Source organism: Homo sapiens, chromosome 4, assembly GCF_000001405.40.
Source record: "Homo sapiens chromosome 4, GRCh38.p14 Primary Assembly".
NCBI classification, from domain to species: Eukaryota; Metazoa; Chordata; class Mammalia; order Primates; family Hominidae; genus Homo; species Homo sapiens.
The window spans coordinates 99,546,314-99,570,693 of NC_000004.12; the positions used below are offsets into that span (position 1 = coordinate 99,546,314).

At 35.0% G+C, this 24,380-nt stretch overlaps 2 protein-coding genes across 9 annotated transcripts in view, besides 3 other annotated features; one reads left to right on the top strand and one right to left on the bottom strand.

Annotated features, from left to right (window-relative positions):
• On the bottom strand, positions 398-17,726 carry TRMT10A (tRNA methyltransferase 10A). Of its 7 annotated transcripts, none has more exons than NM_001134666.3 (8): positions 17,600-17,726; positions 12,841-13,037; positions 11,736-11,898; positions 11,032-11,103; positions 9,833-9,907; positions 7,472-7,621; positions 4,572-4,677; positions 398-3,043 (listed from the first exon to the last, which is right to left on the bottom strand). In NM_001134666.3, exons 2-8 carry the CDS (start codon positions 13,023-13,025, stop codon positions 2,775-2,777), a joined length of 1,020 nt encoding a protein of 339 aa, NP_001128138.1. In that variant the 5' UTR covers positions 13,026-13,037; positions 17,600-17,726; the 3' UTR covers positions 398-2,774. The 7 variants fall into 7 exon arrangements, with proteins under 7 accessions (NP_001128138.1, NP_001362811.1, NP_001128137.1 ...); NM_001375882.1 differs by having other exon boundaries at positions 7,493-7,621; positions 12,841-13,048; NM_001134665.3 differs by having other exon boundaries at positions 12,841-13,048.
• Positions 16,830-18,029: an enhancer, noted in NCBI's record as "BRD4-independent group 4 enhancer chr4:100484300-100485499 (GRCh37/hg19 assembly coordinates)". NCBI's record gives its function as "activates an origin of replication core promoter dependent on BRD2, P300/CBP, MED14 and CDK7 cofactors, and independent of BRD4, by STARR-seq in HCT116 cells {active_cell/tissue: HCT116}" and the evidence as "EXISTENCE:reporter gene assay evidence [ECO:0000049][PMID:35650434]".
• Positions 17,265-17,394: an enhancer, noted in NCBI's record as "active region_21739". NCBI's record gives its function as "activates an Ori minimal core promoter by ATAC-STARR-seq in GM12878 lymphoblastoid cells {active_cell/tissue: GM12878}" and the evidence as "EXISTENCE:reporter gene assay evidence [ECO:0000049][PMID:35858748]".
• Positions 17,745-17,804: an enhancer, noted in NCBI's record as "active region_21740". NCBI's record gives its function as "activates an Ori minimal core promoter by ATAC-STARR-seq in GM12878 lymphoblastoid cells {active_cell/tissue: GM12878}" and the evidence as "EXISTENCE:reporter gene assay evidence [ECO:0000049][PMID:35858748]".
• Positions 17,817-24,380, top strand: part of MTTP (microsomal triglyceride transfer protein) — a 59,868-nt gene continuing 53,304 nt past the window's right edge. For both annotated transcript variants that reach the window (NM_000253.4, NM_001300785.2), the window contains exon 1: positions 17,817-17,924. The gene's annotated coding sequence lies outside the window, so the exon portion shown is untranslated. The remainder of the gene's footprint in view (positions 17,925-24,380) is intronic.

Sequence of the window (24,380 nt, forward strand, 5' to 3'; positions counted from 1 at the left end):
CTCCTTTCTTTCTTTATCTCATTTTACACCTGTTGTCTGTATACTTTCTCAGGGCTCTATGGACAATTCTTGCCTTTTATCTACATCATTTCTGTTACCTTTTCTGTCTATAAAGTGAAATAGTATGTCCCTTTGCTTTATAATTGCCAGTCACTGCTGGATTTCATCATTGTTCATTTACCTCCCAAAAGATGTTTATTCAGTAGAATTACTTTCTTTTCTCAATTTTGATTTTTCCATTCTGAGCATTTTCAAATGCTATAATGTCAACAGCACCAAACTCTGGAGAATCAGAATGAAGAATGGTTCTTCTCTTAAGAATGAGCTTGCTTTATGATCACTGTAGGTTATTAAAGAAATTAAATGTGAGGAAATTCTGTATTTCAGCAGACATATATTTTTTGATGCATTTATTTAGGTAGTTTAATTCTCTACTTTTATTATGTTCTAATACAAGTAACTTTAGTATTTACTGAAGTTTTAACAAATAACCTAAATAAACCAAAACAATGTTGAGAGAAAAGTATACATGCAAATGAGCAAAAAGCTTAATATTTTTAAAACCAAATTTTTAAATACCTCAGAAACTAGTTATATCAAAAGAGGTAGTAATCTTCACCTTCTTGCCACCAACATCCTAGATAAGATATGGGCCTGTAGTGGGTAGAATTGTGTCCCCCAAAAGATATGTCAAATCCTAACACATGGTACCCTGTAAATGTGACCTTATTTGGAGACAGGGTCTTTGCGGATGTAGTCAAGATGAGGTCATATTGGATCATGGTGAACTCTAATCCAGTGCTGGTCTCCCTAGAAAAAGAGTTTGGACACGGATACAAACATAGAAGACAGGGTAGAAGACCACTTGACAACAAAACTGAGATTGGAGTCAAGCCACTATAGGCTAAGGAACAGCAGGGATTGCTGGCAACCACCAAAAGCCAGGAAGAGGCTAGGAAGTATTCTTTCCTAGGGCCTAAGGAGGAAGCATGGCACTGGGACATTGTGAGTCTGGACATTTAGTCTCTGGAACTGTTAAGAGAATAAATTTCTGTTGTTTAAAGCCACCCAGTTTGTGGTAATTTGTTCTAGCACATCTAGGAAACTAATACAGAGTTTTTTATAATTAATAAAAATTAAACTCTTATTTGGAATGATTTTCCCCCTTTCATAATTAAACAGTGCCCTATTTTACATAAAATAATTTAAGTAAAAGGCATAATATTTCATGCTAATAAACCACATTTACTCAGAAAAACATGAACCTTTGAAAAAATACAACTTAAGACATAAGCTTTGTTATTTTAAAATTGTAGGGCTTGTCTTTACTTACATATCTTGCCTACAGACCTTACCTTAAAATAGGTAACTATAATAGATTACTAAGAACAAAGTAACAAAAATAGACAGTAAATATCAGTACTAAATCCAATAAACTTTCTGTTGTGTATATATATGTTAGTATGTAACATATATAGTATGTTATATACTTTTTAAATATAACTTTTATATATTAAAAAGAAGACAAAAGAACAGCAACTTATTTTACCCAAACTCAATGAAGGCTACTGAAATCTTTTAGCTGTGACAGAGACCAATCATTTTACCTTAAACATTTAACTGCATGTACAATTACTGATAGGAAACTAAAACAGTTCCCTTTCACACTATTCTTTCTTGCCAATGTTCCCATACAAACGTTAAGGATTTTTGTACTTAATAAAATTCAAATTGTTCTTAGCGTGTTCAACACAACCATTCACACAAGTAATACAGATATATGGCAATTCAATCATGTTATCATCAATTAAGAACTGAGAGCCATACATGATGAGGATAGTTATGTATTTACATGCATATTATCACATGTGTATTTGATTTATAGAAACAAACATTAGTATGCATATTCTTAGAGAAGAGGAGGCAGATGCACCTATAAACTTTATTCATCTTAAGAGCCAACAAATTTAAAAAAAATATGGAAAAAAAAACCACAGCTGCTAAGAGCTGTTCCATTTTAAATGCAGGTAAAGACAAAATTGATCTTTCAATAGCAACAGCCTTATAAAATAATTTAGTCTGCAAAATTCAATTTTATAATTGAAGTAACTTATCACCATTGTAAGAATTAAGAAAATGCATTAAAGAGATTCTCAACTCTTCAGTAATTACTTCAGAACCATAAAAAGGCATCATAAAGAAGGAACAGATATGCGCTCCATAGTCCAAAAGAAATGAATTATTAAGTCTATCAAACTGATACTTCTTCCTAAAATTACTACATTCTTTCAAGTAACTAATTTAAACATAAAAGCTGCAAATAGAGGGTAACCTACCATACACAAATGCTGATAGATTGACAGTATATTTATGAATATGTGCCCTCACAGATATATAGGCAATAGATCATAAAGATGTTGATGTGACTATAAAATTAAAAAACTGAAAGGTCAGAAGGCACATTCTAAAGAATATAAAATGAAAGAAAATGAAAATATACTAATACAGTAAAATTATCTAGAAACTACTGAGGCTTTAAAAACAAAAACAAAAAAAATCACATACACATTTAAATCTTCTTACGCAAAATCAAAAAATATTTCCTTACAAAGTTTAAAGGGCTTTTTTTTTTATTATTATTTAGGTCCAAAAAAAAGTTTTTAAAAATCACAACAGAAATAAGAGAAAATAAAATGTTCTTCCAATTTCAATATTCTATATAGCACCTCACTTTCTCCTAATTTTTCCTTAAACTAAAAGGAAACCAGGTAACATTAGTGTGGCAGAGAGTTCACTGTAGATTCAGTGTGATTTTCCTTATCCTGCTTTTCTTCATGTGGTGAATCTAGTTCATTTCTGCTATATTCCTCCTCACTGGAATCACTGTCCGATCCACCTTCCTCCATCCTGACAGACTGATTGTCATGAGAAGCACTTTCACAGGCTTTGTCTGTGGGAACAGCTCCTTTCCGTTGGGGCAAGATAGTAAAAAATGCTTCTTGCCAGTCTCTTGTTTCCAGGTATTCCAGAATAATTTCAAACACTGCAATAAAGACATATTCCGTACATTTCTTAGCCAAGTTCATCACAATGCTGCACAATGTCTTTTAAAATACATTGCCTTTGTGTTAAGAGTGCTAGTTTGTCCTAATAACTACTTTGTTCTTAGCTCTTCTTTCTATTGTCTGTCAAGCCCAATTTGCCCCAAGGTACTTAAGTCTATTACCTCCTATCTAGCTTTTTCTCAGTTCAGTTCTTAAGCACTCAGAAATTTACCAGTATCCCATGTCAATTATAATCAATAAAGACCTTTTCAGTTTCTCTCCTACTCTTTTTTAGCCCCTTCACATCTTTATCCTTTACATGCTAACAACCTAGTTAGCATTCACTTAACTTTCTTCATGTTTCCTGTAAAGAGCCACTCACACTAGGATCTCCTTGACTGCTTTTTTTTCTTTTGTTTTTCTTTTCACATTGGTTGTAGTCAAGAGTATCAATATTGTCTCCAGGGTACTCTCACATCAGCATACTGCTGAAGGGCTAACCTGAATTACTTTGTGGAAAAAGTAATTTCTACTATATATCAAAGGTTTTAGAGGCAATTCATTTGTTGAATCGATAATTTCATTTTTATAACTCCCTAGAACCTGCTATATAGAAAGTAGCGCATAAAAAGTTTAATAAGTAGTTGTGTATTGACTAAAAACTCGGCTTAAAAATTTTTTTAAAGCAAAGTCCAGGCAAAGACCGGTACAAGGATGTCTATTTCAATGTTATTTGCAACAGCAAAAAGAAAAAAAACACAATTCAACCATAGTAGAATGGTTAAATAATTGTATATTCAAATGATGGACTACATAGCCATTAACAACCATTTTTTAAATTTATTTATTTGAGACAAGGTCTCACTCTGCCACCCAAGCTGGAGTGCAGTGGCACAAACATGGCTCACGGCAGCCTCCACCTCCTGAGCTCAGGTGATCCTCCCATCTCACCCTCCTGAATAGCTAGGACTACAAGCACCCACCATCATGCCCAGCTAATTTTTGTATTTTTTGTAGAGATGAAGTTTCACCACGTAGCCCAGGCTGTGTTCGAACTCCTGGGCTTAAGCAATCTGTCTGCCTCGGTCTCTCAAAGTGCTAGGATTAGGATTACAGGTGTAAGCCACTGTGCCTGGCCACCATTAACAATCATTCAATGACATAAAAAATAAAGTAATAAAGGAGAGAAAATATCCCAGATTCACAACATTGTATGTAATATAGTGAAAATCCAATTATGTAATAAATAATAATATATATACATAGGAAAAGAACTAGAGGTCAACACCAAAAAGTTAACACCAAGTATTTCTGTGTAGTAAGACACAGCTAATTTTTTAATACTTTCGTACATTTTCAAAATTTTCTAATACACATTATTTCTGTTAAACAAATTATAAATTATTACTTTTTACAATTTTGTCTCCAGGAAGGTGTAATACTTTCTACTTGTTCAAATACTAAATGTAATATTCTTTCTCACAATGTTCGCTCAGGTATATTTTCAGTTTATCCCTTACAGCTTACCATGATTAACTGCCAAAACTTTTCGACTATTCATCTTCACAAAATTTCCAAGTGGGAGCTGTGCATGATTGATTCCATAATCTGACGCTTGTTTATATGTGAGTCCCTAAAACAAAGACACTATGACTTCGACAAGAACATTAAATTATTTAAAGTTTCTGTAATAGTATAAATAATTTTTAGATAAGATTTATAGTTCAGAGAATTTATAGTTCAGAGAATATTATCTGAATGGGGGGTATGTGTGTGTTTTACTGCTCATTTGGAAACATTCTCTTGACAATAAGTATAGTCAATGTGCAGAGCATTTGTTTTAAGCTCCTCAAGTTACAAATGAGGAAACCAAAGACATTATGTTTCCTGCCGAGTTACAAAGCTCCTCAGTGGCAGAATCACGAGAAAAATCTGGCTCACATATCTCCTAACTCAAATATCTTTTCCCCATTCTACCCTGCCTTTATCTCAGCTTAAAATACAGTCCTGCACTGCATAACAAAGTTTCAGGCAATGACAGATTTCATATACAGTGGTAGTCCCATAAAATTATAATGGAGCTAAAACATTCCTGTCACCTAGTGACTTTGGAGCTGTTGGAACATCATACTGCAACGCATTACTCATGTGTTTGTGGTGATGCTGGAAGAAACAAACCTTCTGCTCATCACATAAAAGTACAGCACATACAATTATGTACAGTACATAACACCTGATAATGATAATAAATGTTACCTGTTATGTATTTACTATACTTTTTATCGTTAGAGTGTACTCCTCCTACTCCTAAAAAAAAAAATAATAATTACATATAAAACAGCCTCAGGCAGGTCCTTCAGGAGATATTCCAGAAGAAGGCACTGTTATCACAGGAGATGACAGCTCCATGCATGTCATTACCCCTAAAGACCTTTCAGTGGACTAAGATGTAGAGGTAGAAGACAGTGATTTTGATGATCCTGACTCTATGTAGGCCTAGGCTAATGTGTGTGTTTGTGTAGTAGTTTTTAACAAAAAAGTTTAAAAAGTTGAAAAAAAAAGAGGAAAATTTTTTTTTTAATTTTAAAAAGTTAAAAAATTAAGAATAGAAAGAAGCCTATGGAATAAGGATATATGAAGAAAATATTTTTGTACAGCTGTATAATGTGTTTACGTTTTAAGCTAAATGTTATTACAAAAGAGTCCAACAGTTTAAAAAATTAAGTTTATAAAGTAAAAAAGTTACAGTAAGCTAAGGTTAATTCATTATTGAAGAAAAAATTTTAAATAAATTTAGTATAGCATAAGTGTACAGTATTTATAAAGTCTACAGCAGTGTACAGTAATATCCAGGTCTTCACATTTAATTTGCCACTCACTTACTGACTCACCTAGAGCAACTTGCAGTTGTGCAAGCACCACTCATGGTAAGTGCCCTATACATGTATACCACGTATACCTGTATTTTAAAAATCTTTTATATCATCTATGTTTAAATATGTTTAGAAACACAAAGATCTTTATGTTACAATTGTCTACACTATTCAGTACAGTAACACTCTGTATAGGTTTGTAGCCTAGGAGCAATAGGCTATGCCATACAGCCTATGTGTAGTAGGCTATACCATCTAGGTTTCTGTAACTACACTCTATAATATTGATATCGCTAAATGATGTAATTCTTAGAATGTATCCCCATCATTAAGCAACATACGACTGAACTTAAACTGAATTCCTATGGAAGCACCATCATTCTTCCCGTAAGTGTAAAAAAAAATTAAATTTCAATTAGTAACACTACTTTGCACAAATGACAAAGACAAATTAAATGAAAACTTGAATTGAGAAATTTTAAATAACTGACAAGTTTTATTTTTCCCTGTCAATTAAAAAAATGCAGAATATGAATTTCATCTCTCTTCAAAATTAAAATCCTTGAAACCTATGTCCAACCAGAACTGAAATGGTCGAAAAACAGAGTACAGGAGAAAGAAAAGCTCAATTTGTCAACTGATGGTTTGCATACTTGGTGGGGGGGGGAGGCAGCAAATAATAATAGATTGAAGCAGGTGCTTTTGAAAACAAAATTGTTTTAGTTCAGAAAAACATAAACATGAGAAAAAATGTGGTTCTATATAAATAACAAAATAGAATTTTTCCACTAAGAAAAAAACAAAAAGGCTAAAAGATCATTCTGATAAAATTCCCTATGATGCAATAGAGCTGCAACTGTCCAATTGGTAGCCATGTGTGACTACTTAAATTTAAATTGATTACAATTTAAAAAATTCAGTTCTTCAGTCATACTGTACACATTTCAAGTGCTCAATAGCCACAGACCTAACATACTGGACAAGCAGATACGAAGAATTTTGCATGCTGCAATGTAGCTGGCGAAGTACAAAATGACATTTTCTTTTAGAAAGTGCATTTCTGTAATTTTTCATCCAAATAAAGGTATGGATGGGAAGAGAGAAAAGTACAAATGAAAGATAATAGAAAAAACATCCCATGAAAATAACATATTTAAAAACTAGTTTAAGTTCCAATGGCTTAGCAATTGATTAGCAGCAGAATCTTCTATCAGTAAAGCATAGACAGCATTTAAGCATGTGGACTCCAGAGCAATCAGCCTGGTTTCAAATAGCTGCTTTGTCACCTACTACTGTTGATTTTAGACTTAATTTCTCTGTGCCATGAATTCCTTACTTGTGGAACGTAAATAATAATAGCACTAATCTCACTGGGTTGAGTGAAGATTAAGCAAGCTAACTTATGTGAAATACTTTGCTTAGCTCAGAAGGTGACTGACATATAGTAGGCACTCAATAAAGATGAGCTATCATTAGTATTATTGTTACTTTCAGGAAATGGTGATATATCAATTTTAAGAACAAGCAAAAGCAAAAATAAAAATTTAATAGTACCTTGTGATGGTTGTGATCTACTAATCCTCCAATCACATAGGCCTTTGATTCATCTAATTCCTTCAGTATATTAGGTGAATCTGACGTAAGGTAAATCAGGTCTTCTTTCTTTATGAGTTCACTATAGTGCTCTGGTTTGATATGGATATCCTTTAAGACAACAGGGAAAGAGGTTACTAATTAATAAGACCTTATGAAAGTTGGCTAAAAATGATTATTCTCTTTTCCCAAAACAAATCCATTCAAAAATATATGAAACAAAGTTTGAAATAATATAATTACAATGCATTATTTTGAATTTACTACATCAATTTCTTATATCTCACACTTTGATCATTTAAATAGCCTCTTAATTTTATTTCCTCCTTGTTGGCCTCAGACCCCTCCAACCTACTTCCACACACTGATAGCAGGCTCATTTTCTAAAAACACTACTTTCAATGTTTTATCTTTTTCTGTGGGATAAAATCTGAAATCCTTAATTTAAAAACTCTTTCCTGAATATGGCAGTAATCTACTTTTCCAACTTTATTTCTGTTCCAACAAAACAAACGCATTTTTACTGCCACATATTTGCTCACATTGTTCTATGACCAAAGAATGCCTTCTCCAATTACTTCCTCTCCATCTACATGAATCATGAAAGGGAAATAGCTGGCCACGTGCGGTGGCTCATGCCTGTAATCCCAGCACTTTGGAAGGCTGAGGCAGGTGGATCACAAGGTCAGGAGTTCGAGACCAGCCTGGCCAACATGGTGAAACCCTGTCTCTACTAAAAATACAAAAATTAGCTGGGTGTGGTGGCGGGCTCCTGTAATCCCAGCTACTCGGGAGGCTGAGGCTGGAGAATTGTTTGAATCCCGGAGGCAGAGGTTGCAGTGAGCCGAGATTGCACCATTGCACTCCAGCCTGGGTGACAGTGCAAGCGACTACGTTTCAAAAAAAAAAAAAAAAAAAGAAAGAAAAAAAGAAAAGGAAATAGTTTATAGATTTAATTAATTCCATGTATCTGTTTCTACAAAGAGACACACATTTGAAAACTTCTTCACCAAAATTGTCAGGTCACAGGTACAAAATTGAACAATAGCTGGCAGTCATGATTTTGTAAGCCACATTGACTGCATAAAAGATGTATCACCAGGCTCAGATGACATTTATCCATAATTTTTAATGAAACCAAGAATGAGGCAAAAGAACTCTCTCCTAAAATGTATAATTAATAAATAGCCAGTTTTCTGGAAAATGTTATATTACAAATTTAAGGCCCCAAGAGGAACCTGATTAATTAGAGACCAATGAATCTCAAGTCTCTCTGGAAAGGTGATGGTATAAATGATAAATTTAACAAGTCGCAAAATAACTGAAAACATGCCTCTTTTAATTTATTACACTAGTTCTTGGAAAAATGGGCACAAATACAGGATTTGGTAAATATACTGTACTTAAAAACTTAAAAGCCTTTGAAAATGTTTCATATCATAGGCTATTAATAAAATAAATGCCTTTGTTATGGAATTAGTGAGTGTGAAAGGGAAAGTGTGTCACTGAGAGAACTGACTTTGAGAAAGAAAAAAGGTATAGGGATAACCCAGTACTTCCCTAAATAGGATCAAGTTCCTCAGGGACTGGTACCAAGGCCAATCTATTTAGTCACCTTTACCAATGACTGAGAACAATTTGGTCCAATAGAAAAAACTGTGAGGCCACATAGGCAATTTTAAATATTCTAGTATCCAAATTTTAAAAAGTGAAAATAGGTGAAATTAATTTTAACAATTTATTTTATTAATACAGTATACCCAAAAGTTTATCATTTAAACATATAATAAATATTTTAAAAATTACCTAGGAGATATTCACATTCTTTCTCTTTTGTGGTACTGAGTCTTTGAAATCCAGTATGTATTTCACATTCATAGCACATCTCAATTCACAATTCAGACTGTCACATTTCAAGTTCAATAGCCACATGTGGATAGTGGCCAGCACAGAGTAAGAAGAAACAGAATGCAGGCACACTTCCAAAATTTAGAGTGACTTCATTTTTATAGGTAACATATAATGTATAGCTAGTATGTTAGGGAGAAATGATATAAAGGCCCTTAAAATTATTTCTTTTTAAAAATACGTTTTAAAAGTTGACCATAAAATAGGGAAGATTTAATGAGAACAAATACAAGCTACCAGATGTCTCACTCCCTTCTTCAGCATCTCTGATTTGTAATCTTAGACTTAGGTTCAGAGATTGCATCTGGAGATTGTTGTATTAAGTAGCATTATATAGAATTTAGGTACAAAATGTAGACCTTTAGAAACATAAAAATACTTGGAATTATGTGAGAGTTTATCTGTTTTAATTACCTTCCAGTTGACCCATCCTTTGTCATTTTCATCCATGTTCTTTTTCAGCTGGCCTCCGTGGCTTGTCAAGTAAAACTGATAAAAGATTTGTAAGTATAGAAAAAGAGAACAAATGACCATTTAAGTCTAATATTTTATTTCTCTCATCTACTTATCTGACGATCAATGAAACACAAAATATATTTATTCTCATTCATCTAGAAAAAAAATTTGTGACATGCTTTGAGCAAACAATAAACTGTGGTAGAAATAGTACGTTTTGTGTGCATGTTTCATAACCCAGTAGCTGCAGTATCCCATTTACATTTTCATCCCAAGTAGTTATAACATGCCTGTACCTTAATCATCACTTGTCTACAAACTCCCTGCTTCCATGTCAAGTTCCCACTCCTCTTTTTTTTAAAACAATACAAAGTCTTCATAATTTTTCTTTGATTCTAAACCCTGACACCTATTTAAGTTTGAATCAAGGGTGAGAAGGGGTCTACTACAGATAAAAATGGGGATAAAAGGACTATCACAGAAGTGTGATATGAGACTATAAAACAAAAAGTATAAAAAACAAAAATACAAAATTACTATCACTTGGTAAAAACAAAATATCTAACCAAAATATATTAATAGTTCCTGGTTCTTAACATCAGTGAGCCAGTATTAATTTTTAGGTCACCTAGAATTCCAACAGAAAGATGTTATTCTTAACAGTAGCCAAATAGTCTCCCAAATCACTCCCTCACCTCAGCTTAAAAAAGACCTGTCAAAACTCTCAGTGACCCAAAAGAAAACTAAAAACCTTTAAGTAGACAAAATCTATACAACAGATACCACGACATATGTCAAGCGGTGGCAGCCACAGCTTCTGCCTCTCTGTCCAATCTCTCTCCCACACTGGAAGTAATTGTAAACTGAAAAACTGGTATAAAAATATATGTATGTCCCACAATGAAGATATCAACTACAGGCAATGAAAAGGCCAATTTGTATAAGACTGATGATTACTGGAAAGAGTGTGTCTAAGATAACATATTAAAAGATGTTTAAAATATTTTGCTTCATTTCTGTCAAAAAAATTTTTTTCACATAGGCATTAAACAAGATTACCTGTAAGACTACTGCAAAGACTATAGGAATTATCTATGTCTTTTGCCACAAAAGACATAAAAGAAAACTAGAGTCTGCTTTAAAATCTTTACACATACCTGCACAGGATGCAGTGCCCGTCGGTTTTCTGCGTAACATCGTTGAATCTGCTTATGAAGTTTCTTAATGTCCTATCACAGAGTTCAATTTTTAAAGCAAAGTTATTAAAATTGTCTATGGCCATTCTATGATCTTAAAGGAATGGAATAAGCAGAAGGGATGACTATATACATACAATTTTTCTTCTTAAATACAAATGCATTCTGATAAATGTTATTTGATTTCCTTACATACTAGCAAAATTACTGTAAGTTAATGCTCTGTAAGTGACCCATTATTTCATATTTTGTATTTATTTAAAATGCTAGTTCATGAAAACGGCTACTCTCTAAAGAGACAACAACAAGACTTTTAGAGCCATACTATTACTATTTTCATGTTTTACCAACAACACTGGTAAAACCCCACAGATCTTTATGATCAATAAGTAGTTAATTTAGTTCTGTCATCTAGACTACAAAGTGTGTGTTTGTCTCTCTTTCCTGTCTGCACACATACTGACACACACACATACACACATATATAAATACACATATTTATTATATCAATGCAATTTGCTAGCTAATTTAACTTAGGGGAAAGTTTGAAAAACTGAAGATTCATTTCAATACACAAATTTACATAAAAGGGATATTGCATATTAAAACAAAAATGATTCGACCTAATTCACATACAAGATTTTTCTGACAATGATTCATGATACCTTTAATACCATCAAGTGATCAAAACTACAGTCAATAATAAGGCGAAGGGTGCTATGAACAACATCTCTTCGAACACGTTTTCTGTCATGTCCATCTGAGTTTGGTTCCATTTGACATTGTCGCTCTAATTTTTTCCTCTTGCGTTTTTCTTTTCGCTTTTGTCTAAAATTAGTAATTGAAATAACATTTTGTTATTGTGTATTCAGTTATTTACAAGACTCTTCTAAATAAACAATTCCTTTTAAAAATCATCAGGTTAAATCATATGAAATTGTCACTTCTGTGACCATTCAAAAATGGTCAAGTATTAGCAGTTTTATACAACCCATCTAAAAGCTTCAGATAGGAAGGAAATGAGCTTCCAAAAATGATCTAAAGCTTTCTATCTAAATCCTAACTATACTATCTGAATAGTTTCATTTGTTATTGGTATCATACTATCCCTAACCTTATAAATACTGAGTTTGAGTTATGACGAATTTTATTTTCATAATTTACCTATATGATTTTTAAGCCACATTTATAAGGTATAGAAAAAAGCAAAATAAAATTGTTCATTAAAAAAATTACATACTTTTTCTCTAATTTACACCAACTACAGTTTATTTTCTCTCCATAAATTTTGGCATTTATTACAACGACAAATTTAGCCAAACTGCTTTCACCAAAACCTGCAACAGTTCTTGTGGCAAAATCAATGTCAGGCCAAAACTTGATCTTTCTGAGTTGGCTGTTTTTATTCCATAACTAGCACACAGACACTAATTACATCCCTTATCTAAGTCAGTTGTTTCAAAAATTGTGCTGCTACTCATAATAAGGTTCTGCATTAGAAAAAGTGTTGAGTGCAAGATCATCAACAGTGCTAAAAGAAACCCAAACAATTTTAAAAAATAGTTTTAACAGCCAGTTGACAGTGTTAGCTAACAATATACGTTGTTAGCTTCAATTTTCTTCTCTTGCGTTTTTCTTTACGCTTTTGTCTAAAATTAGTAATTGAATTTTAAGTAACACAATTACATTTAATATGCCAAAGGGCTATGCAAGGTTTAACATTGCATATCTCTAAATAGGAAGAGAGCATATACATTTTGAAACACATACTTGCGGAGTTCCCGTTGCTCTTCCCATTGTTTCTGTTTTATTAGTTTTTTCATTTGTCGTTTAGATATTGGTTCACACCCTTCACCTAATCTTGGCTTCTGGCTCTCCTCTTGATCTTCATTTATGCCTTGCTTTTTGTCAACATTAGAAGTTTCAATAAATGCTGGCAACATTTCAGATGACATTATTTGGTGCCTCTGAAAAACAACTTTTGACATGAATAGATAATTTACAAGCACAAAAAAGTTAAAAAACTCAAATAATCAATATGATTAAAGTTAAACCATAAAATAATATAAATAAAACTTTAGACAAATAAATGTCATTTAATTGTAAATATCATTTAAATACCATTTAATATCAATTAAATATTCAGCAATGCTAGTAAAGGTCTAAAGAAATGGGGTGTTTCATATACTACTGGTGGTCATGGTACAATTTTTCCAGAAGGCAACACATATATATGTTTTAAGAGCTTCAAAATCTCTATTTAGACACCCTTTGACTCAGTATTTCCTTAAATTTCTGTAAATAAATCAGAAATGCACACAAAAATGTGCACAAGAGTATATGCAATGCAGTGTTATTTTTAACAGTGAAAAGTTAGAAACCTCCTGAATGTCAGTGAAAGGAAACTAAACAATTACGGTTAATCTATAACATGGGCAAGGAATATTAAGCAGCCAGAAAAACTTATATATCCAAAAATATTTAATGATAAGGGGAAACGGTTATACATTAAACAAAATCAAAGAAAACAATATATACATTACGACCAACTTTTTTAAAAAGGTATACACACACACGTTTAATTCTTACCCACAGTTTTCTGCATTTTCTAAAGTTATATAATGAAAATATATTGTTTTTAATAAAACAAAAAATTTTAAAAAGAGATGAAAAGCATCTTTTCTATAGTCTTTTTTAATGCTGTAGAATGAGGGAAACTACAAAAAGACAGAACTGATTTTTAAAACTGAAATCAATAACCAAGAAATAAATTCACTTGATACAAATTAAAAATAGGGCAATCAAAATGACTTTAAAATAAATTTGGCTGAAATATTTCAGAGAGGTCATAAGGGAATAAGAAGTATAAGAACAAGACAGAAAGTTGTGATATAAAAGCAGGCTTTACTAAAAAGTAAAACAAGAATCAGTGAAAAAGAACAGAATCAGTGAAAAAGAATCTGTGAAAACTAGGAAATGAAGACATAAAAAGTTCAATAGAAGAGACAAACTCCAGATTATCTGGAGTCCCAAGAAGTAACTGATGACTTAGAAGACAATCTGACTCAGGATGCAGACACAAATAGAACAGAAAAATAATATGGAGGAGCAGTAAAGACTTGGATAACAGAATAAGAGAGATACAGGAAAAAAAGGTAATTAGAGATAAACATATAGCCTTGAATGCATTCATTAATTTTTTTAAAAAAAATCTAGAAAGTAAGGTAAGCATTCAATTTAAGAAACTGGAGGTGGGGAAACTGAATAAGCCTAAAAAGGCTAGATGGAAAAAAATTAAAAAATATGTATTTTGATCCCCTGGATCACTTTTATTTTCCTTTCTTGCAATACACAATACATTAAATAAAATTCAGCTATGCAGGTATCCAAAACGACACCGAGTGGAGGAAACTTAAAAGCACAATTAAAATTCACAGGAAACAAATTGCTCTCTTCATGAAATAATAATATTCCAAGAGAGTACATTTCTGTTTATCAGTGGCATCATTTTCAGTTAGTTCTCTATTTTATTCAAAAACGGCATGTGTTGATTAGCTCTATGTGAAGATTTTTTTTTTTTTTTTGGAGACAGAGTCTTGCTCTGTCACCCAGGCTGGAGTGCAGTGGCGCGATCTCCGTTCACTGCAACCTCCGCCCACTGCAACCTCCGCCTCCCAGGTTCAGGCGATTCTACTGCCTCAACCTTCTGAGTAACTGGGATTACAAGCGCGCGCCACCACGCCTGGCTAATTTTTGTATTTTTAGTAGAGAAGGGGTTTCGCCACGTTGGTCAGGCTGGTCTCGAACTCCTGACATCGTGATCCGCCTGCCTCGGCCTCCTGAAGTGCTGGGATTACAGGCGTGAATCACCAGGCCCGGCCTACGTGAAGACTTTTTAAAGAGCAATGTAATGTTTTACAGGTCATGTACACCAGGGGGAGCATATGCCTTTCCTATCTAAGAAGTCTTAAGTTAAATTTAATATGACCTGTCATAGTACATTAATGTTTCAATCTCTCAAACACAAGGAAAGGTCATGAGATGGTCAACATCTTCATCATCATCATCATCATCTTTTTAAAAACTATTCCTAACTAAGAAAACGACTGTACTAAGTGAAGTTTTTAGGCTTTAAATAAGCCAGGTGCACTGAGACAAATGGAATGCAACAAAAATGATGCTAACCTGATATCTTATAAATTATTCCGTATAGTATACTTTACAAAGATATCTACCAACTCGCACTGTCTACACTATACAATAAGTATAATGTATATCTACACTGCACTATGTACTAGCGTGTTCAGATTACCTGTTAAGCAAAACAGCATTTTATTAGGTATACTTGCTTTCTAATTGTTTTAGTTTGGGCAATAATTTATAAAATTCCATGGCAGAGTTTTTCATTCCTTTCTCACATGCAGTGATGCTCACAGTACATTTTCATTCATTCAACCAAGTTCAACAAATGTTCAAGAACGTATTTTACAGTAACTATAAAAATATTTGTGTGAGGTCGGGCGCAGTGGCTCATGCCTGTAATCCCAACACTTTGGGAGGCTGAGGTGGGCGGATCACCTGAGGTCAGGAGTTCAAGACCAACATGGCGATACCTCGTCTCTACTAAAAATACAAAAATTAGCCAGGCGTGGTAGTGGACGCCTGTAATTCCAGCTACTCGGGAGGCTGAGGCAGAAGAATCGCTTGAACCCGGGAGGCAGAGGTTGCAGTGTGCCATGATCGCAGCACTGCACTCCAACTAGGGCAACAGAGTAAGACTCCGTCTCCAAAAAAAAAAAAAAATTATATATATATATATGTGTGTGTGTGTGTGTGTGTGTGTGAAATTTTACTCCTGCATAAAATTTTAAAAATTTGTGGGGTTCATTCGCAGACATAGGTTATTAAGTGGGCTTACAAACTATCTCACTTTGTAAGGCAAGGACACATCCTACATCAATGAGCACCAAAAGAAAAAAAAAAGTTTTTTAAAACTGCATTAAGTTATGGATTGGGATAAAATAAATAATCGTCGTTAATTTATGACAGTCTCCTTTTCAGAAAAATCTCAACGAATGTGGGAATAATGCAGATTGGAATTAATGACTTGACAGCGATAGCAAAGGAATGCCTTTTTTTTTTTTTTTTTTTTTTTTTTTTGAGAGGGAGTCTTGCTAGGTCGCCCAGGCTGGAGTGCAGTGGCGCAATCTCGGCTCACTGCAACCTCTGCCTCCCGGGTTCAAGCGATTCTCCTGCCTCAGCCTCCCGAGTAGCTGGGACTACAGGTGCGCGCTACCACGCCCAGCTAATTTTTGTTATTTTTAGTAGAGACGGGGTTTCACCACGTTGGCCTGGATGGTCTCCATCTCTTGACCTCGTGATCCACCCGCCTCGGCTTCCCAAAGTGCTGGGATTACAGGCATGAGCCACTGCGCCCGGCCTTTCTTGTTTGTTTGAGACGGAGTTTCGCTCTTGTTGCCCAGGCTGGAGTGCAATGGCGCAATCTCGGCTGATTGCAACCTCCGCCTTCTGGGTTCAAGTAGTTCTCCTGCCTCAGCCCCCCCAGTAGCTGGGATTACTGGCATGCGCCACCACGCCCGGCTAATTTTGTATTTTCAGTAGAGACGGGGTTTCACCATGTTGGTCAGGCTGGTCCCGAACTCCTGACCTCAGGTGATCCACCCGCCTTGCCCTCCCGAAGTGCGGGGATTACAGACGTGAGTCACCGCGCCCGGCCAGGAATGCCCTTTTAAAAGACATGCGGACTAAACGTGGAGGAGCGAAAAGCCCTTTGTTCACTTCAGTTGTCAAGCCTTTTGGGCAGAGGGTTGGGAATGGAAGGGGCAGATGAAATTCTTTCAGAAAGTGACAAGTAATGTGTTGCCATCCTCTTCATATCTGTAGAAAAATTCCCAAATTTAAAGTATTTCAGTGAAATCAAGTAACACTTCGATCTTTATAAAACTGTCCTCAGCTCACAGCACCTGCAGCAACTTCCCCTCGGGCTCTCTACATTTCAGAGAGTTCAGCGACGTCAGCCCTTTGCAGGAAAAATGAGGTAAGGCAGCTTTAAAGAGGTAAAGCCCACGGTCTCTAGCCACGAAGTGGCAGGGCCATAACACGCTTTCCGGCCCTTTAGAGTACAGATTTCCCACTGATTCTTTGCAAACTCACTTTTCACATACTACGGGCCGATGGCAACCCCAAAACACACGCCGACGGAAAGCGCCCCACCACGGGGCGGAGCCTCGCCCACTATCCCTTCTAGGCTCCCAGCCAGCAAACGCATTTCAGAGACGGGATTAAGCTGTCTCTGGCGAACCAGGGAGCAGCTGGGTAGGCCGCGGGGGGCGCCTGTCATCGACGTCATTTCCTTCAGCAAGAGCGCCGCAGGAAACCACTTCCACACCACTGCTCCCCTCTCCCCCGGAAGCCCTTGTTGCTAGTAGGGGGCTGCATGGCACGCGCCCCTTTGCGTCCAGAGAATACCATAGTGCGGGGGAGCGCCAACCAGTGCCAGGACACTTACCGAGCTGAAGAGTTGACAGGGAAGTGAAATCTCAGAAAGAAAGCCTTTCTGGGTTGGCCTGGTTACGGCTCACGCTTCCTTCCACAGAAACTTCAATTCCCAGAGGCAGGGGCGGTAGTTACGCAGTGGAGGCTACGGCGGTTGCGTCTTACGTCATCGAACTGCGGCCATTTCGAACCCGCAATGGAAGAAAGGGGAGGGGTTTATGCGGGGCGGGGTCTGGAGTTAGTGTTTTGGGAGTGGGAGGTAGTTACAGTGATGTCTGTTTTTTCCCGTTCAAGAATTAAGTGTGTACCTGCAGACGTGTATTCATTCATATATTCTTGTGAGTATTGGATGAAGGAATTAAGATAGTCCCACTGTTAAAAATGCAAAACAACGAAGAAAGGCTCCTAATTTTTCTGTGTTGAAAATGAGAGAAAAACATCTCTTGCCTATATTATTTTTAATTTATACAGAAAATTACCATATCACATGATTTTACATAACTCAAGTGGAAAATTAAATTCAAAAAGTGAGTCAGATTCACAATAAAATGCATTTAAATTTAGAATCTGTAAGGCTTTTTTATGGCTGAAGTAAAACAGCCATAGCTTTACTCTTTATTCATTCCTTGAGCTATTTTTCCTATGCTGTTTTGCAAAACATCAGATGACATTTCATTGTTTATAATACTTGACCTTATATAATCTTTTGCTATATATAGATCATGTCAACTGAGAGAGAAATGAAATACAACCCCGTAGATTGTCATTTTCTATTTAGTTTTTTTCTCCTCTACTTCTAATAGGTGATTATTGCAGAATTTGAAGGTAAGAATGAGGTTTGCATCTTGAATAGAAGACTGGCTTCTCATATAGAAAGAATTTTGAAGTAAATTATCCTTGAAGATATTTGAACATGTTTAAAGGCTTCAGTGAATAGAAAATTAAATCCAGAATTTGAGATTCTCTAAAAGAGCCGAAATTTCTTTGACTTTAGTTACAAAACTAAAGTCACTCTTGCCATAAGCCCTTAAATTTTACTTGAAACACTGTATCAGCTATAACACTGTTGTGAGTCCCTCTTCTGTTTCTTCCTCATCTCAAACCTAAAAGATCTTTGTTAACTGAGCACTGGCAAAAAAGTCTGGATCCACTTCTGATCTGTTAGTAGGGCATCTTTTTTCAGCTGCCTCCATATGAGGGCAAAGAGTAGCTGAGGGAGGATTAGTAATTGGATATGTAGCCCTTCACATGTAGGTCATTAAATTCAGGCTGGCAAAGTGATGTGCCAAATCTTTCCACAGCTGTTCAGTTGCTCCTATGGGATCTGTTTTATAAATAATTATACAGTTTTTTCAGAGTTAATACCTGGCCTCCTTAGATATTTTAAACAAAGTTTTAAAGCAAAAAAAACCACTTCATATTCTAATAATGAAGTCAATAAATTTTCTTTTGACATAGACATTTAACTTTGTAGTCATTTGGTGCAAAATTTAAAATGATTCTATTATTAATCCAAAGTAAGCACCAAAAGAGCACCAGCAAAAGTCAATTTAACAAAAAATTGAAACATATAGAAAGTTTAAGACGGTGAAATCATGTGAAACAATATTTTCATTGATTTGTAAAATTTATGTATTTATTTATTTGACACATGTATCGAGTTCTATGCGTTTTGTCTTAGTATTGGTGATACAGAAATGACGAAATCATGCTCTCTGTGCTTAAGGAATCCTTAATCTAATAGGGGAGCCAGCAGTAAATAAATACCATACAACATGTACTTGAGATGCTTGTACTTTGAAAGAAGCAACTAAATGCTCCTTGAGGCAGAGGACATAGTTTTGGAGATTAAATAATTTTGTTTCATCTTGGAAAGTAAGTAGGAGTTGTACAGGTGTCAGAAAAGTGAAGAAGTTTAAGATATTGGGAACAGTGAAAGCAAAGACCTAAGCGTGTCATAGTTTTGCACATGACTGAAAAGCTGTGGATAGAATGAGGAAGAAGGAGGAGATAATAACCCTAAGGGCTTCTCTAACTTGGACAACTGTAGGAATGCAGTAACATTAACCGGGTCATTTAGGGAATACTGGAAGAAAAATAGGTTTTGAGGCCGGGCGTGGTGGCTCACGCCTGTAATCCCAGCACTTTGGGAGGCCTAGGCGGGCGGATCACGAGGTCAGGAGATCAAGACCACCCTGGCTAAAACAGTGAAACCCCGTCTCTGCTGAAAATACAAAAACTTAGCCGGGCGTGGTGGCGGGCGCCTGTAGTCCCGTCTACTCCGGAGGCTGAGGCAGGAGAATGGCGTGAACCCGGGAGGCGGAGCTTGCGGTGAGGCGAGATCCTGCCACTGCACTCCAGCCTGGGTGACAGAGTGATACTCCGTCTCAAAAAAAAGAAAAAAAAAAAAAAAAAGAAAAATAGGTTTTGAAAAAATAGTTTTGTTTTAAAATATGTGCATTCTGGGGAGTCTGCAGGACATCTGAGTAGAAACAGATTTTAAAAAGAATGAGCACATACTTGTAGTTTAAGCTAATATAAGAGGTTGGACTCAAAGAGATACTACTCCATGGGTTACAAATGCATAGTATCTATGGGGACTGGAAGGTAGCAAATGAGAGAAGCGTCTAGAAGGAAAGTATCACAAACCTGAGAGTGCAATTCCTCTTTAATCAGGATAAAAGTTCCAGGAGAGAATATGGGCTTAATGGCACCAGATCTCATTTTTTTAAGAACAGCCATAAATATGAAATCTGGTTTTAAAGTGTTGGCAGCTATTTTGTTTGTTTTAAAATACTGAGCAGACTAAATAAAATATGTCTGTGGGCTATATTCAGACAGTTGGCAACCAGTTTGTTAAATTGGGCCCTAGTTGGTAGAATAAGAAGGAGGCTACAGACAGAACTAGAACTTTAGGACATAAAAATACAGTAATAACTATGATTATGAACCCCTCCGTAAGTTTGATTTCAAAACATTGGGCAATCATTACAAATTCCATTATTTTAAGCTTAATTCTAAGTCTTAGGATACTCTTCAGCAAGTTGGGAGTTGAGGAGATGTGGAAATAGAGTAACACTTGTGAGTACTTTAATTTCAGGCTAGGAAAGCCAAAAAGAAACCCATTTTTAAACATGACTTGAAAGGTAGCTACAAGGAAGAATCGGCCACTCATCTATAATCATTTCAACCTGCATTTCGACTGACTCCAAAAATACAGAAAAAAAACTTTAAAATGTATTTGTACATTTACATACTTATACATACATATTACTGGTATCCTCCCACGTAATATATGAATATTGAAGACTCTGGGAAGGTGATTAGACAGGCAGTGTAGTCTGTGAACTTCCTGAATCTCCTGATAAAAACAGGTAAAGCATCTAGGATAGACAATAACAAAATCCCAGAAGATAGCTATAACATAACTAGGTGAAAAGGAATCCCTAAAACCTCAAAATATGAACAGGAAGGAGCAAACCCAACTTAATATCAGCAACTGTGTAGGAGGGAATAGTGGGAAGACAACAGATCATCTGAAGACCCTCAGAATGGGAAGGCCCCAAAACTGCCAACAAAAAATCACTAAAAAACAGAGGAAACCAATGTGAGGTCGGCGTCAAAACTGGCAGGTTGTTCAGCAGACTCTAAGCTCAGCTAAGTGTGAAGGAATGAGCAGGAGGGTCTGAAGCTGCTGGAGGGATGTGAGGCCTGTAAATTCTCGAAACCAACAAACTGGAGCTCCGTTCTTGAACATAGCCCAACACTAGGGAGAAACTACTGAAAGTAGAATCCAAATTGAACAGAACAGAGACAATAGGGGCCAACAAAAAAGCAGATGCAGATAAAAGTGGGAGAGTAGAGAGGAGACAGATCTCAGAAAATATGAAGACACGTGTGTCATTTTATGAAATATTAGAAAAGGAACCTCTAGAGCCATGAAACTGGAAAAGATATTCTACCCAATCCTCCCTCTTAAAAATACAGAATAACTTAGCCTAAAAATATACCACAGAAAAGGATCATGGTCGAATTTCATTTAAAGTTGCTATAATAGAAAAGAGAATATGAAGCAAAAAAAAGTGGATGAAAACTGTAATGTAATATTTCAAAACAGAGAGCAAGTTTTAAATAATAGAAAATATTAGAGAACCACATAAAAATGAAAATGATTCAAAAATAAATATTTGAAGATGAATAAAAGAACTCAGACAATAATAAGAAATATAGAAAGCACACACATATATTCACCATTGTACTGGAAATTCTAACCAGTGCAATAAGATTTAAAAAGAAAATAAAAGGAAGGAAGAAATAAAACCATTTGTAGATGACTGAATGTCTGTCTAGAAAATCCCCAAAAACATACCAAAAAAAGACGCTCACTAAACTAATAAGCAATTATAGTAAGGTCACATGATATAAGGTTAACATGCAAAAGTCAATTGCCTTCCTATATAGCAGCAGTGCAGAACTGGAACTTGAAATTAAAAAGAAACAACCCCTCCAAAATGAAATAGGTATAAATCTAAAAAATTTGAGCAGAATCTACATGAAGAAGTTGCAAAACTCTGATGAAAGAAGTCAAAGAAGATCTAAATAAATGGAGAGATATGTGTTCATAGATTGAGAGACTTGATGCTGTAAAAATGAGCACACCTAGTGTCCAGATCTTGGTTTCTAGTACAGTTCTTCAATAAAGGAAACCAGAGATTCTTGGAGAAATGAGTGATTCTAAGATTGGAGTAAAAATGCACAAGATGACCTGGGAGCATCTTGCAGTGCCAGATAATAAGGAGATGCTAAAAACCAAAACTAAAACCAGAACCCAAACAAAACACATTTATGGGGTATGTCAAAGGAACGGGGCCAACTGAAGGAACTCCCAGTGGCTAAAGATAGAACAATTGTTGCAACAAAGAAGGATTCAACCTTAACCCAAAGTATAAATTAAATATCCACAAGTCCTTATTGATATAGTGATTAAATAAATCAATTGGAAATTAAAGACAAATTTCCCATGTGGAGGAATTCAAATAATTTACGTAGCTACTCCACCCTCAAGGAGGAGGAACATAACTCCTCACTCCATAAATGTGGGATGTACATAGCATTTCCTTCCAAAGAGTGCACTATGAAAAAAAGGGTGAAGAAAAACAATTAACTTTACAATGGAGAAATCTGACAACACTGCTGAGCCAGGTGATCAAAGTCAATGTAAATAGAGATAAATCATGTTGATATTATGTACCTCTGATGTAATGTGGTATCAAGAAAATAGCACTTTACCTCTGTGGTATTCCTCCTCCAAACTTAACAACCTCAGTCAAATCATGAGAAAAATACCACAAAAATTCACTAGAGGAATATCTTGCGAAGTATCTGACCATTTCTCCTCAGAGCTATTACAGCCAAGAGGAGCCTAAAGATACTTGAGAACTAAATGTAATGTACCCTGGATGGGAGATTGGAAAAGAAAAAAAGAATTAGGTAAAAACAAAAGTAACCTAAATAAAGTATGAATTTTAGTTAATAATATATTAATATTGGTTTATTAATAATAACAAATCAACTACACTAATGTAAGTTATTAACAGAAGTAACTGTGCAGGCTATATGAGAAATCTTTGTGTTATTTTAGCAATTTTTCTGTAAATCTAAAACTGTTATAAACAATAAACCTATTTTAAAGTAACATATACATTATACAATGTGAGAAAATATAATGGCAAAAAAAGAAAATGCAAGCACAAACTATATTCCGTCTCTCAGGGATAATAATTATTAAGGTGTTCAGTGAATATTGTTCTAATCCTTTTTCTGTGCTCATATGTATGTATATTGTTTAAACAAGAAATCTCAAACCATATCTACATCTGCTGTTTACCAGACTGCTTCCTTTACTTACTAAGATATGGTAAATATACTATATTTACAAGTTTACATATTTACATATACCAAACTATACAAAATACACACTTTTATAGTATTATTTTAAAATGGCTTCATGGAATTCTGTTGAATTGATACGCCATAATTTATTGAACTATTTTTGTCATTAACCAAACATGGTATCCAAATTTTCACTATACCACAAAGTTCCTTGTGACACCATTTTTAATGTTTTTTTTTTGTGCACTTTATGCCTAACTCCACAAGACACTGTTATTAAGAGCCAGTGTGTTTCTCCACCATACTTTCTTTGCTCTTCATCCCTTCTTGCATCTCAGATTTTATCTGGGGTCAATTTTTTTCTAATTGAAGCAGATTTTTAAAGATGTCATTTGGAGGAGTCCTTTACTGGTAAATTTTCAGTTTTAGTTTTTCTGGAAAATCTCTATTTCAAGTTTATACTTAAAAGACATCTTTACAGAATATATATAGAATACTTAATTCACAAGTATTTTCTCTCAGCACATTGAAGACAACATTCTAATGTCTCCTAATTTTCATTGATACTGTTAATAATTTAGTAGTTGTCTGCTTCTCTTTCTTCTTGAAAATAATCTGTCCTCTCTATCTAGTTCCTTTAAATATCTTCTCTCTCTCTCTGATATTCTGCAGTTTAATTATGATGTATCTACTTGTGTGTATGTGTGTTTTAAAAATTATCCTGCTTAAGACTTATTGAGCCTCGTGAATCTGTGGATTGGTATCTGTGATAGGCAGACAATGGCTCCCCAAAGATCTTAAATGTCTTAATCTCCAGAACCTGTGATAGTCTAAGTTAAGGTTGTAGATGAAATTAAAGTTACCAATCCACAGACCTCAGGGTAAAAAGATTATCCTGGATT